A 16,692-nucleotide genomic window follows, 5' to 3' on the forward strand; every position below is an offset into this window, starting at 1 on the left:
TTTCATCCCTAGAAGTTCAATCTGATATTTTTAAGAAAACGATTCTCCATGTCTCTTCTTAACATGTTCAGTCTTTCACTACCTTTTTGAACACATGGAATATAGTTATAACTTTAAATGTCTTTATCTGCTAATTCTGATATCGGTGTCATGTTTGGTTTTTTTATTGACTAAGTTTTCTCTTCATTTTGGGCCTTATTTTTCTTCTTCTTTGCATGCCTGTTAATTTTTGATTGGATGTCAAACATTGTGAATTTTAGTGCTGGGTATTTTTGAATTTCTGTAAATAGTGTTTTGCTCTGGGAATGTTACTTGAAATCAGTTTGATCCTTTTGGGTACTGCTTTTAAGATTTGTTAGGCAAGATGAGAGAAGCATTTAGACTGTGACTAGTAATTACTCACTACTGAGGGAAAATGTGATTGAATATCCATTGGCCTATGAATTATGAGGTTTTCTAGCCTGACTAGTAGGAACACTATTCTTGACTCTGTGATCTCTGAGTATTGCTCACTCTAATACCTATTATGCTTCTGGGTGGTTCATTCCCAGGCCTCAGGTAGTTTTCTTCAGACACACAAACTGATCATTACTTACTTGAATACTCCTAGGAGACCTTTGCAATTTCTGGAATTCTCTGTTCACACCTCCTCCCTCCAGGATTCTGTCCTGTAAATTCAAGCTTCCTTGGTTTCTTGAAGCTCTCAGTTCCATCTCCTCAACAAAAGGAGTTCACTAGCCTCTGCCTGGGTTTTGTATTTCCATGTTGAAGCCGGGAAACGTTCTCCAGACTGCAAGCTGGGGCAATTATAAGGCATATCTCATTTGCTTCCTGTCTCTCAGAAATCACTCTCTCTCTCCCCCGATATTCAATGTCTTGAAAGCCAATGTCCTAAAATTGCCTTCTATATACTGTGTCTGTATTTTTAGTTGTTTCACATTGGAGTGTAAATCTGGTGCCTGTGACTTCATATCTTGGCTAGAAGTGGAAGACTAACCGCAGGGAATTAAATTAAAAATCAATAACAGATATTTGGAAACGTCAAATAGTTAGAAATTGAAAAACACACTTTAAAATAAGCTATGGTCAAATAGTTAATATTAAGGAAAATTATAAAACATTCCAAATTGATAAAAAATGAACATATATCAAAATTTGTGGGATGACATTAACGCTGTGCTTTAAGGAAACTTATTGCTTTTAATACTTGTATTAAAGAATAAAAAAGGTCTCACATTAATGGTTTGAGTTGCCATCTAAAGACACTACAAAAAAGAAGATCAAATTAAACCCAAAATAACCAGAAGGAAGGAAATGCATTTAGCCTTTTTTTGAGCAACATGGGTTTGAATTGCATGGGCTCATTTATACATAGAGTTTTTTCCCCCAACCAAACATAGATAAAAAATACAGTATTTGTGGGATCTGAAACCCACATATATGGAGGGCCAACTTTTCATATACACAAGCTCTACAGGGCTGATTTCAGGTCTTAAGTATGTGTGGATTTTGATATATGCAGAGATCCTAGAACCAATCCCCTCTGTATACCAAGGGATGACTGCAATAGAGAGCAGAAATTAGTAAAATAGAAAACAAAGAGAAAAGAGTAGAGAAATATCAATGAAACCAAAATTTGGTTCTTTGAAAAGATCAACAAAATTGATGTCCTAAATCTATTTAAAAATTAAGTCTGTAGTTAAAACACCTTTCCACAAAGAAAACTCCAGGGCTGCATGACTTCAATGATGAGTATGCTACCAGACATTTAACGAGAAGATGATGCCAACTCTACACAAACTCTTCTAGAAAATGGATGATAAGAAACACTTTCCCACTAATTTATGAGGCCATCATTATTCCGATACCAAAACCAGTGATATACATTATAAGGACATAAAACTACAGATGAAAATTTCTCATTAAAATAAATTCTATAATCTTCAACAAAATAGTATTAAATTGAATGCATCAGTGTATATAAAAATAAGCTATGACTTGATGGGATTTATCATAGAAATGCATAGTATGACTTTTAGAAAGCAATCAATATAATTCATTATATTAACCAACAAAAAATAAAAAACAATACTATCACCTCAGTATATGCAAAAAATGCATTTGGCAAAATTTCATACCCATTCATGACATGAACTATCAACAAGTAGGAACAAAAAGAACTGCCTCAATATTGTTTAGAAAAAATCTCCAGCTAACCTCAGTCTTAATGGTAAAAGTCTGGATGCTTTCCCCCTAACATCAGAAAGCAGGCCAGAATGTCTTTGCTTAACACTTTTGTTCAACATTGTACTGGAGGTCATAGTCAGTTTATTAACAGAAGAAAATGAAATAAAAGAACAAAATGGGGAATGTAAAACTGTCTTTATTCACAGACAACCTGATTGTCTATATAGAAAATACTGACAGTGTTTCTTCGTTCATTTTGTGCTGCTATAACAGAACACCACAGACTGAGTAATTTATAAAGAACAGGAATGTTTTGACTCCTGATTCTGGAGGCTGAGAAGTCCAAGATCAAGGGGCAGGCATCTGGCAATGGCTTCCTTGCTTGTTATATCATCCCATGGCAGAAAGGTAAAGAGAGGGTGAGAGAGAGAGCAAGATGCTTAACTTTCAGCCTTAATTTTAGCCTTTTTATAAATGCATTAATCCATTCATGAGGGTGGAGACTTCATAACCTAAACACCTCCCATCACCATTGCATTGGGAATTAGGTTTCCAACACGTGGTTTTTGGGGAACACATTCAAACCACAGCAGAAATATTTTTAAATTTATTAGCAATAATAAATGAGTTTAGCAAGATCATAGGGTACAAAGTTGTTATACAAAGTCAGCAGTATTTCTCCATACTAACCACAAATAATTGGAAATTGGAGTTAAATAATATTTAATCCATTAATGAGGGTGGAGACCTTATAACCTAAACACCTCCCATCACTTTTGCATTGGGGATTAGGTTTCCAACACGTGCTTTTTAAAGGACACATTCAAACATTTAAAATAACACCCAAATTATGAATATCTAGGAATAAATTTAACAAAAGATATACAACACATGTATACTACAAAGCTGTTTTGAGAGAAATTAAAGAAGATCTAAGTAAATAGAGATATACCATGCTCATGGATAAGAATCTCATTAATTCTAAGATATAAATTTTCCTAAATTGGCCTATAGTTAAAATATTATCATAATCAAAATCTCAGCAGGGTCCTTTGTAGACATTAACAAAACAATTTAAAATTTGTATAAAAATACAAAGGATGTCGACTAGCCAAAACAATTCTGAAAATGAACAAAATTGGAGGATTTGTACTAACTGATTTCAAGGCTTACTAAAAAGCTTCAGTAGTCAAGCCAGTGTGGATTTTGGCTATATATATATGTGTGTGTATATATATGTATATATATACACATACATCTCTTTCATATATATACACATATATATGTATATACATATATATGTATATACATATATATACATATATATACATATATAAATATATGAAAGAGAATAGAGACTCCAGAAATAGACTCACACATATATAGTCAATTGATTTTTTACAAGGCTCCAAGGCAATTCAATGTGTAAATGTTAATGGAATACCTGGATATCTACACAGAAAAAAGTTCCCAAACCTTACTGTACATTGAATAAAAAATTAACTCAAATAGTGTCATAAACCTATATCCAAGAGCTAAAACTATTGTGCTTCTGGAAGAAAAAAAAGAGCAGAAAACCTTTTTTGACCTTGGATTAAGTTAATATTTTTAAATAGGACACAAAAAGCACAAATTTTAAGAAAACACACACATAAATATTGAACTTCACCAACATTATAGACTTCTGCTCTTTCAAAGATAATGTTAAAAAGATGAAAAGGTAAGCTACAGCCTGGGAGAAAATATTTGCAAAACATAGATCCAATCAAAAGTCTTGCATCCAGAAAATACAGCCCAATTTTTTTTTTTTTTTTTTTTGAGATGGAGTTTTGCTCTTGTTGCCCAGGCTGGAGTGCAATGGTGTGATCTCGGCTCACTGCAACCTCCGCCTCCTGAGTTCAAGCAATTCTCCTCTCTAAGCACCCCGAGTAGCTGGTATTACAGGCATCCACCACCACGCCCAGCTAATTTTTGTAATTTTAGTAGAGATGGGGTTTCACCATGTTGGCCAGGCTAGTCTTGAACTCCTGACCTCAGGTGATCTGCCTATCTTTTAAAAATGGTCAAAACATTCCGACAGACCCTTTACCTAAAATGTTTTTCAGATGGCAAGTAAGGAAACAAAAATATGCTCAACATTATTAGTCATTAGGGAGATGCAGATTAAAACAAAAATGAAATGCTACACACCCCCCCACACATACACACAAATGACTATAATTAAAGAGATGGACAACACCAAATATTGGTGAAGATGAGGAACAGTTGGATTTTTAATACATGGTTCATGGTACAGCCACTTTAGAAAGTATTTTGAGGCCAGGCACGGTGGCTCACGCCTGTAATCCCAGCACTTTGGGAGGCCGAGGAGGGTGGACCACAAGGTCAGGAGATTGAGACCATCCTGGCTAACACGGTGAAACCCAATCTCTACTAAAAAATATATAAAAAATTAGCCAGGTGTGGTGGCAGGCACCTGTAGTCCCAGCTACTCTGGAGGCTGAGGCAGAAGAACGGTGTGAACCCGGGAGGTGGAGCTTGCAGTGAGCCAAGATGCGCCACTGCACTCCAGCCTGGGTGACAGAGCAAAACTCCGTCTCAAAAAAAAAAAAAAAAAAAAAAAGAAAGGAAGAAAGCATTTTGACGTGTCTTAGAAAATTAAACAATCATGTAGGATATGACCCTGGCATTCCACTCTTTACCAAATGAGAACATATGTCCACACAAAGGCCCTGCCTACTAATGTTTATAACAACTTTATTCATAATATCCAAAACCTAGAAACAACCCAAAGTCCATCAACTAGTGAATAGATGAACACATTGTGGCATACCCATAGAGTGAAATATCACTTAGCTATAAAAAAGAGCAAACTGCCAATATATTCAACATGGGTGCATCTCATAAGTATTATGTCAAGTGAAGAAGCTAGACACAAAACAATGTATTATATGATTCCATTTATATGGAATACTTTAAAAGGAAATTATAGTAATGGAAATCACATCAATGGTTGCCAGTGCCTGATGAGTAGCAAGGGATTGACCACAACGGGGCATTTAGGACCTTTTCAGGGAGGTGGAATAGTCTCTATCACGATTGTAGTGGTATCCCACTAGTGGATATATTTGTCAAACTCATTGAATTGTACACTTAAAATTGGCAAATTTGATTGTATGCAAATTTTACCTCAATAGAGCTGACAAAGATTAATGATAGGCTGATAGTATCTGGTCTCCATGGTACCTACCTCCTGCACTCTCTGGGTCTCCAATCCCTGAAAAGAGAGAAGCTAGGGGAGGACCAGCATCTTTGCTCTGTGTATCTGTGGTGCTGGGAGGGACAGCATCCCTGGAAGATGTTCAATGTCTGTAGAAGTAGCATCCACTCAGGGAGAGCGCTGAAGGCACTGCTACACATTTTTATTCATATCGCCCCCTAAGGAGCGTTTTGAGACCTGTTTTCCTAATCGATCCACCCCCATGACATTTTAATACAGATGTACTGTACAGCTATTTATGTTATGTATGCATATCTGTGCTTCATACATAAAAATAGTAAGATTTTATTCTCCCCCAAAGAACCAATTTTTGCCACCTTCTGGGCAACATTGCCTATTGAGAATGGACAGGTGAGGAAGGAAGCCAAAGGTCAGACTTTACTTTCAAGATTTTACTGGGTCAGATTTTACTTGCCCAGATTTTACTGGGCAAGCTTGTCTTCTTTCTCCTTCTCTTCAGTGAAGTAACAGGCTACCAGGTAGGAGGCTGGGCATAGCTGGGTCTGATGATAGGCTCTGAGGACCAAGGTGGGAAGGTGCTGTCACTCCATGTGGTCAGTGATGGACTTTGAGCACCTGGCAGGGGCCCAGCCACACCCTGCTCAGCACACTTATCACCCCATGTGTCTCCAGAGGCCCTGGGACGTGGGCAGGCACATCAATAGTTGCTCACTGGAGTCGTTCTGCTTCCACAAGGCTTTCAATAGCAAAACAGCTCTTATCTATGAAATATGATTCCTTGGAACCCCTCTTATCTAAAGAAAGTTATGAGAGGGGCAGAATAATGCTGCTTCTTTGGAGGTAAATGCTCAGTTTGGCTTCCTCATAGGTATGTGAGGAGCAGAAGGAAAAGTTGCTTTCAAGAAAGTCACTCAAAAAAGCAGACATAAATATGAAAATATTTGTAGGCACACATGTTGAGGAAGAGGACAAAGGGTCTGGCTGCCCACCTCCCAGGCATTTTCCTCATTTAGAAGTGGCCCCCACTCACAGGGGTGGCCCCCAAGGGCTTTCTGGGCTTTGTGATCTTGTCCCCATGGCCATAACTGGTTGGTCCAAGTAGAGACATTTGATCCAAGCCAGACCAATCACATTCCCTGATCCAACTATTTGAAACCTGGTGCCAAGAGACACACAGAGATCTTTGGAATTGGGCTACTTCAATGACAAACACCTGGACAAGGCCCATGGTCCCTCGTCTGAGGGCCCCAGAACTGCTCTGATCTTACTCTAACCACAGATTGGGTGCTCAGAATCTCCTTTGTGGTCTCTGAACTTCACCAATAAGCCTTCCAATTAGCTCCATGGGTCCAGGCATGGCACATTCCAACCTGCATATTTTGGCCAGATGACACTATGGCTGCTCTGCCCTACAGGTTCACTCTTTATCCCAAAAACTCAGCTGAGGAAGAATTCCCAAAATGGCTCTCTTTCCTTCAACCCTAGCACCTCCAGATGTCAAATTGCAAAGATGGCATGTGTCTCACCCTCAGATCTCAACAAGTGGCACTGTCTCTGTGTCTGTCCTCCACCGGCTTTGTGGCCAAGGAGAGCTATGAGGAGGTGTCCCCAGACATCCTCACTCTGTGCCTAAGAATGGAGGAGGGGGAGGCAGAAAACACATGGCATCGTGCCTGTCACAGTTGAGGGTGATGGATGAGGAGGCAGGGCCCAGGGACTCACCATTGTTTCTGGGGAGGGCAGGATTCTCCACTCCTGAAACACCAGGTTTTTGTTCTCAAATCACTTGCTCCTAGGGCCCTGAGCACTCCACTTTCCTCTAGCACCAGATCAGGGAGGTCTGATTTTAACAAAAGTGTGCTTGTGTAGCTTGAGACATGTGAGTTACTAGGATTGTCACCTGGGGCAAATTCAACAGGGGTCTCCCTGGGTAACTGTGCAGCTAGGGCTTCACCGTATAGATGGGAAGTAGAGTCTTTGCATCCACATTCAGCCTCAACTATTGCCAGGACCTCTCCAGAACGCATTCTACTCTGTAAGATTTGGGATGCAAAAGTTCTAAAAAATGCCCTTTATTATCTAGAATTTTCTAATTATTATTTACATTATTTGCAGAGTAGATCTACATCTTTGGGGGGGCGGGTGGTTTATTTGTTTGCTTTTTAAAAATAAAAACCCAGTGGGGAGGAAATGAACGGTGGCTGGGTCGCCTTTGATGCACTTGCCTTTCTCTCTGGTGGGATGAAAAGGAAGTCATGGCCCTATTTCCAAGAGGGTTTGGTGCAGATTTGGAATCTGCTGGAAGCAATGTAAAGCAATCAATGAGTAAACAAGTGTCTAGGACATGCAGACTGGCATCCACCACGTGTGTGCACACACGTGTGTGTACTCAGTGCAACACAACTGGCTTGTCCACCCCAGGATTGGTTCTCCTGGCTGTTCCCTGGTATTAGATACAGCCTCAGACACCTTATCTCATGGTTAACAGGAAGGCCACAGCAGCCCCAAGTCCCCGACTCTCACCCCACATCATTGAAGGGAAGAGGGGGAACATCTCTTCCTAGGTAGGTCAACGGCCCCTCCCTGTCTCACTGCTGTGGGCATGGCCACCTTGGAGCCACTTGCATAGCCAGAGGGGTGGGACATTTCCTTCCGACCCACGTGACTCACCAAAGCAACATCTAGGCATTGTGAATGGGATGAGGGAACCTGACACTGAGGAGATACCCTTGACATCTTCTATGTTGCCTCACTTCCCAAAGCCCAGGGGCTGCCTCTTCTATTGCCCACCAAACAGCAATGGTGGTCATGTATAGGACATGCTGCCTGATGACTCATGGAATGCTCTTATGCACAGTGTCTCTGTGGATGCTCAGAAGAGCTCTAATTTTGATGACCTCTAATTCACAGAGAGAGGGATTGAGCCTTAGGCATGGAGGCTACCGGCCCAAGAGCGTGAGGGGTGAGAAGTAGGCCAGAAGGTGAGCTCACCCTCTGGCCTTCAGATCCTCACTTCCATTCCCGCTCCTCCTGGGAGCCACTCCTGCATCTGGAGCCCCAGGGGGCTGCCTGCTCACTCCTGCTGGGCATCCCTACAGTCCTAGCCGTGACTCCGTTGGTCTTGGTGGGAGTATTCATCATCTATTGCTGTGTAACAAATTACTACAAGCTTCGCAGCTTACAACAACACTGTACATGAGCTCACAGTTCTATAGGTTAGAAGTCCAGACCTGGCACAAGGTGGGGCTTCTCTGCTTAGGGTTTCACAAGCTGAAACCACGTGTGGGCCAGCTGTGTCCTTATTTGGAAGTCAGGGTCCTCCTCCAGGCCCATTTGGGGTGTTGGCAGAATTCAGTTCCTATGGAACCCCATCTCATGAGAAATAGAAATGCTATATTTATTTAAGCCACTATTTGTCAGGTCTTGTGTTGCTCATCTAAGTACAATTACTAACTGATTCACAGGCACGCTGAGCAGACACGGGAGCAGACACTGAGGCTCAGGCGGGTGCTGGTAGAACCTCCCTTCCATGCGTGGCCACAGCTCTCCAAAGCCCTATTTTATACTTTTGTTATTGTTCTTGGGTTTTTTTGAGATGGAGTTTCGCTTTTGTCACCCAGGCTGGAGTGCAGTGTCGTGATCTTGGCTCACCACAACTTCCGCCTCCCAGGTTCAAGCGATTCTCCTGCCTCAACCTCCCTAGTAGCTGGGATTACAGGCGCCCACCACCACACTCAGCTAATTTTTTGTATTTTTAGTAGAGATGGGGTTTCACCGTGTTGCCCAGGCTGGTCTCTAACTCCTGATCTCAAGTGATCTGCCCACCTCGGCCTCCCAAAGTGCTGGGATTACAGGCATAAACCACCATGGCCGGCCCCTACTTTATACTTTTATACGGTATTATTTCATTATGCCCTCTTAGCTTCTAAAAGGAGCTAAGATTAGATTTTTAAAATCTTCATTCCTTCCTCCCTCCGTCCTTCTTTTCTTTTTCTTTTCTTTTCTTCTTTCTTTCTTTCTCTTCTTTCTTTCTTTCTTTTTCTTTCTTTCTTTCTCTTTCTCTCTCCCCTTCCTTCTTTTCTTCTTTTCTTTTCATTTTTTTTTCTTTTTTTCATATGGAAAAACTAAGGCTCAAAGAGAGGAAGTAATTTTCTGGAAGACCTTCAGCCTCTTAGAGTCACAATCCAGAGCAAGCTGAGCCTCTCTAACTCATCATTCAGAGCCTCACTATCCTGCTCCACTCCCAGCCCAGCCTGGGCCCCAGCCCAGCTCAGCTGTTGTCTGCCCATGGATCAGTCTCAGCACCGGCCCTCCTACCTGGAAGAGCACTCACAAGCTGTGGGAGGAGGAGGGTGGCGTGTCCTCTGGCAGAGGCAGAGCCTAACCGTACTTGGTCAGCTTCAGCACACACTTCCCTCGCTCCGCAGGGGCAGCTGCATACCTCCCCATTGGGAGGAGGCAATGGATCCAGCCAGGGCTGAGAGAGTTGTGGGTTATTGACCCAAGCTCCCAGCTCTCCTGGCTGAGTCTCAACTGGGGACCCCCGAGGACCATTTCCGAAGCACAGGCAAAGTTCTCGTGTTCCCACCAGGACTTGCAGGAGCAGCCTGTCAAAATAAATTGTATATTATGGATTCTGGGAGGTTGGAGGACCAGCTGTTACCAAAATGCTTGGGCTAATTTTAAATCTATTCATTATTCATGATTAATTACCAAAGCCCCGAGAGATGTAAGTGAACATAGCTCTTACAGCACATGTCGAAGTCACTCTGGGAATATATTAGTGGAGTTATCCCTCTCCTTCTTTCATTGTTGCTGTTTTCATAAAAATTTAAATCTTACGATAAATGTAGATTTATACGAAAGTTACAAAGATAGTCGAGTCTTCACATACACCCCAAATGCATCTTCTGCTCTTATTAAAATCTTACATTAGCGTGGCACATTTGTCACGCTTAATGAAAAGTGTTATGGACTAAAGTCCATAATTTATTCAGATTTTCTTAGTCTTTAGCTAATATCCATTTTCTGTCTCAGGATCCCACCCAGGATCTCACATTCCATTTGTTATCATCTCGTCTTAGGCTTCTTCTGGTTCCAATAGTCTCTTAGACTTTGCTGGTTTTTGATGACCTTGACAGTTTTGAGGGGTTCTCCTCAGGTATTTTGTAGTCTGCCTCTCTAGTGGAATTTGTCTGATAGTTTTCTCATGATTCAACTGGTGATATGGGTTTTGGTGAAGAAGACCACAGGTTAAAGTGTCCTTCATCACATTATGTCAAGGGTACATACTATCAGCATGACTTATCACTGTTGATGTTAATCACCTGGCTCAGATGTGTTTATCAGATTTCTCCACTGTAAGGTTACTCTGTTTTTAAACCCCTTTCCATACTGTCCTCTTTGATATAAAGTCACAACGTGAAGCTATAGTTAAGGAGAGGGAAGTTATGCTCTATCTCCTTGAGGATGAAGTATCCACATTAATTATTTGGAATTCTTCCATGCAGGAGATTTCCCTCCTCTCCTCCATTTATTTATTCAATCATTTACTTATAGTAGTATGGACTCATGGAGATTATTTTCTACTCTAGGTTATAATCTGATACTACTATATTTACTTTATTGCTCAACTTGGGAGCTCTTTCCATTGGTTCATGTGTGCCTTTGACATGCTTCCATCACTGTGCATGTGAGTGTGTTTTAGTACTTCCTTACTTTCTGACTCTACAAGATGCCTCAAGCGTATTTTGTATATTTCCTGCCTCAGTCCTAGAATCAGTCATTTCTCCAAAGAGCACTGGTTCCTTTTATTGGAGAATGGTGATAGAAACCTAGATCAGGTGCTAGGTGTGCTCATTGTTACTGGGATGTCATTGCTTCTAGGCCCTGTCAGCTGACAGAGCAAGGAATTTATAGCCATGTGTATGTATACTAAGCCATATACATACACAAGGCTATAAATATATGCATACACATACATCCATCTGCATCTGTATTAAATTCAACATGAATTCGTACTAATGTCTCCATCTGTCCCCATGAGGGTTATTCTAGACTTCTCTCCTTGCTTATCTACAACTTTCCGTTCCAACAGAGAGAAACCTGGCTCCCACCTTCTGCCATCCATTTACTTAATTGTTCATTTCCAGGATACATGGACAGTGGCTTCATCATTGTTAAGCCATACCCCTGAGGGAAACAGTTTATCAACTAGAGCACAGTGCTTATGTGCAGTTCCTTTTGCCTTTAGTCTTACAGTCACTAGTTATTTCCAAAGTTACTTAGGTCAGAACCTTTTGCCTTATCTGTCTCAATGAGGTTGTTTCATACATCTGCAATTTAGTTAGATTCTTTTTTAGCATTCTGCATTCTATCCTGGGACCCCCTAATTTCCAAAATGATTTTTTTAAGTTTGCATGTTCAGGTTCACTCTTCCTGCTGTAAAGTTCTATGGGTTTTGAGACAGGCATAATGTAATTTGCATCTCCTATTATAGTACCCTATAGAAAAGTTCCACTGTCCTAACAAGTCCCCAGTGCTTCACTTATTCACCCTCCTCCCACTCTGAACCCCCTGTTTACCATCACCATAGTTTTTCATTTCCCAGAATGTCATATAAATGGAACAATACAGCATGTAACTTCTTCAGACCAACTACTTTTACTTAGAAATGTGCATTTAAGCTTCTTCCATGTTTTTTTGTGGCTTCATAGCTTTCTTTTTTATTGATGAATAGTATTCCATTATACAGATGTACCACTGTTTATCTGTTAATCTACTCAAAGACATCTTGGTTTCTTCCAGGTTTTGATGTTTGTAAATAAAGGTGCCATAGTATTTGGCTGGGTGCAGTGGCTCACGCCTGTAATCCCAGCACTTTGGGAGGCTGATGAGAGCAGATCACTTGAGGTCAGGAGTTCAAGACCAGCCTGGCCAACATGACAAAACCCTCTCTCTACTAAAAATACAAAAATTAGCCAGGCCTGATGGCACATGCCTGTAATCCCAGCTACAAGGGAGGCTGAGGCAGGAGGATTGCTTGAACTCAGGAGGTGGAGGTTGCAGTGAGCTGAGATTAAGCCACTGCTCTCCAGCTTGGGTGACAGAGCGAGACCCTGTCTCAAACAACAACAACAACAAAAACATTTGCTGTGCAGGTTTTTGTGTAAACATAATTTTTCAAATCAGGTAAATAGCAGCAGGATTGCTAGACTACATGATAAAATAATGTTTGTCTTTGTAAAAAATTGCCAAACTGTCTGTTATTTTGCATTGTCACCAGCAACAAGTAAAAGGTTTTGCTGTTCTGTATCCTTGCTAGCAATCGGCATTATTCAGTTTTTAAATTTAGTCATTCCAATAGGTAGGTAGTGCCTTTCTTTGTTTTGCATTTTGTTTCCTTTTGTTTTTAATCAGAAGAATCTCGAGGAATAAATAGGGTTGTATGAATGATACTTCCTCCCCCAATGACTCTGGCCATGTGCTCAGACCAGGATGCTAAGGTGGGGCAAGGTGTGGTTGGCCTGATCTGATCTCCCCTTGGGATGGCCCCACTTGGGGGTGATCCTTGACTCGATCTCCTTTTCCTTCTATTTTACCTTTGTTTATTTCCTGACTACTCTATTACTTCTTTCAGTCCAACAAAAAATTTTAGAAAACCTCCTTTGTGCCTAGCTTTATGTAGGTTGCAGGGATGCAAAGATAAACGATGTCCACATACAGCCTAACAGGGAAGCTAGAGATGCAACCATCCACCATCCTGTGTGATTGTCACTGCTGTTCTGTGATGGCATGGGTAAAGATGACAGACAGAAAAATGGTTGAATTTATCCTCTGTGCCCTAATAACCCCATAACTGCAGGCAAGTTACTTAAATCCTTGCTGCTGAAGTGTGGCCAGTGGACCTGCAGCATCAATATCACCTGAGAGCTTGTGAGAAATGCAAAATCTCAGACCCCACCCCAGACCTGTGGAATCATTTTAGCAAGATCCGCAGGTGATTCACATGCACACTAAAGGTGCAGAGAGGGGCAGCCTCTTGCTCAGAATCCCAGAATGAGTTAGGCACAAGGCCAGGCCCGCAGGAGGGCAGCCTCCTGATTTCTACAGGAGGCCATTCTCCAATCCTGGGATTCATCAATCCCCCCAGCCTCATCAGTCCATCTCTGTCACTGCTGGGAACGGGCTGATGCCATTTCCCTGGGAAGAAAGGTGCCTGGAAGTCACCAAGCTCTGCCAGCCCCAGGTTCAGACGCTGGGAGCTCCCTCTGGAGCAAAGCCTTCTGCAGCTGTTGGGGATGCCCAGAGCTCATTCTGAAAAGCTTGTTCTCAGAGAGGCTGGAAATCAATGCAATCATATTGGAAAGTCTATGCTTCCTGAAAAAGGACTACTATTGGAGAATTTCTTCTTTCTCAGCCTCTATCCCTCCCCTCAGGGGCAGAACCCACCCCCACCTTGGCTGTGTTTCTCAAAGTGGCAGAGTTCTGACATAAGGGGAAAGAGCTTAGGGAAATCGGATTTTATGGTCCTTTCCCACCCCACCCTATGCCACCCCTTTCATCTCCTCCCAGCAAGACTCAACTTAACAGTCTCCAATCAGAAGCCAACTGCCACACCCACTTAAAGCTGCCTCTACCCCTAGTCCTGACGTGTCTTCCTTAAGTGAAGTCAGCTCTATTCTGCCCACTGTCTTTAAGTGGAAATTCTTTCCCCTTCTCATCCCAACCTCCACGGCGTGTGGAATTTATTCCTGCACCTCTTCCTCTTTTTACCCGTACTACCTCCATGGTGCAGCCATGATGCGTGCAGTGGAAAGTGACCTCCTTCCTTCCCAGCTGTCCAGGGCACTTACAGGCAGAGGGGGCTTAGAACTCCAGGACTGACCTAGCTCCTTCTTTTGCAGATAACCAATGCATGGCTCAGAGAGGAAATGAGACCCACAGACCCACATCATCTCACATCACGTCAAGACCCACAGCTCTGTGGAGACAAACCTGAATGGTCTAGACTAGATGTTCTATCACCAAATTATCTATCATTTATCTGTCTTTCTGTCTATTGATCCAATCTATCAATTGACGGATCAATCATTTCTCTATTACAATCCCCTCTCCTTGCACTTTGCTGTCTTCCACAGTGGAAGCCCGTTGTGAGCAGGTGGCAATAGATCTCATGGTATTGAAAGGGCCCATGTATCCATGGGTCCTGGGGTCCCATTGGAATCTTAAGGAAGGAAAGCCTTCCTCACTGCTTGTCTGCCGCTGGCAGCCTTCAACAACTTCACTGGCTTCAGAGTCAGATGTCGAAATGTCTCTGTCCTGGAAGCCACTGGAACTGCAGGTCCCCACTCTGCATTAGGCAGCCAGAAGAAAGAGGAGCCTTGGTTTCCTTGTCTGGACAATGAGGAACTTGCAGAAAGTGACCCTGAGGAAGGCCTTTGCTATGGTTTGAATGTTTCCTCCTAAACTCATGTCGAAACTTCATTCTCAATGTGGCGATATTGAGAGGCGGGGCCTTTAAGAGGTGACTGGGTCATGAAGGTTCTGCCCTCATGAATGGATTCATCTATTGATGGATTAATGGATGAATGGGTTAATGGATGAATAGTATGAAAATGAATATATATATTTTTGAAAATGAATACAGGCCGGGTGTGGTGGTCACACCTGTAATCCCAGCACTTTGGGAGGCTGAGGTGGGCGAATCACTTGAGGTCAGGAGTTTGAGATCAGCCTGGCCAACATGGTGAAACCCTGTCTCTACTAAAAAATAAAAAAATTATCTGGGTGTGGTGTCACGTGCCTGTAATCCCAGCTACTTGGAAGGCTGAGGCAGGAGAATTGCTTGAACCCAGGAGGCAGAGGTTGCAGTGAGCTGAGATCATGCCACTGCACTCCAGCCTGGGCGACAGAGTGAGACACCGTCTCAAAAAAAAAAAAAAAAAAGGAATATAATTTAAAAGCTGTTGGAATCCCCAAACACTTTAAGCCTTGAAAGACATGTCACTGTGAATTGAATCACATATGGTTACAATTTCTGTTTCTCAGATTATAGATGAACTTGATTTGTTTCCTTGTTCTGTACAATGACTAGAGAGAATTAAATGATGTCAGGGACAAAAACCTCCTGCCTCCTGTTCATGATCCTTCTGATAGATTAACTTCCCCATTGTTATCCTGCTTTGCTTCGATCAGACGACAGAAAACCCAAGACTGTTACATCCTCTGTAAAAAATGCTAAATGTACCCTTCCCGAAAAGAAACACTGCTTATAACCAATCAAATTGCTGTAAGTATGTGTAACCTTGTATGAATATTGTTGCAATCCTGCTAAAAACTCCTCCGTCTCTGCCTACATTAATGAAGTCTTAAATGTCCTACTTCAGAACACTGGTTCCATTCCTTTGGAATTGGTGTTTCCAGGCCGCTCACCCTTGCACTTTGCCCTTGAATACATTCTCTTTAAATTGGATTCCGACCCTTTCGATGATTTTAGGTTGACAATAGGTTTTCATGGGAGGGGAACTGGTGGCTTTGTAAGAAGAGGAAGAGAGACCTGAGGGGCACATTCACATCCTCAGCCCCATCACCATGTGATACCTTGTGGCTGGACTTTGCACTGAGCTCCACCAGCAAGAAGGCTGTCACCAGATGTTGTCCCTCAACCCCTGGCTTCTCAGCCCCAGTAACTGTAAGAAATAACTTGCTTTTCTTTATAAATTACTTAGTTTCAGGTACTATGTTATAAATGACGGAAAATGGACTAACATAGCCTTTGAAGCCACTGCATGGGACCTGTGAAAAATGCAGGCATAGGACTCCCCCTCCATTCTGGTGTAGTAAGTTTGAAATGGGATCCACCCACTTTATTTCTACCGAAAGCTCCGGGGGCGGGGGGATCTAAGATCCAGTGCATTTGAAAGCCACCGTGATAGGCCATTTTTGACACCAGGAGAATCTGCAAGGGACAACTAGCCATTGGGGCTAATAGAACCACACCTTGGCGTCTGCAGCGGGCTGGGGCCTCTGGCGCTGTATGGCCCTGGCTTCTGCTTTTAATGTCCCTCCCTCACCAGAAACCAGAGCTGGTCTCTACTTCCAAGCAGCTCTCACTCCGGAGCCTCTGAAGCGAATATGCACAGTTAAGTGCTTCAGGGAATGTCCATTCCCAAATCCAATTTTAATACCGATGTACCGCTAAGAGCACTTGCTACTAAGAATTAGCTAATGCAAGACTGATGTTTAGAAAAATCTATACAGAA

This window comes from Homo sapiens, chromosome 10, assembly GCF_000001405.40.
Source record: "Homo sapiens chromosome 10, GRCh38.p14 Primary Assembly".
Classification (NCBI taxonomy): domain Eukaryota; kingdom Metazoa; phylum Chordata; class Mammalia; order Primates; family Hominidae; genus Homo; species Homo sapiens.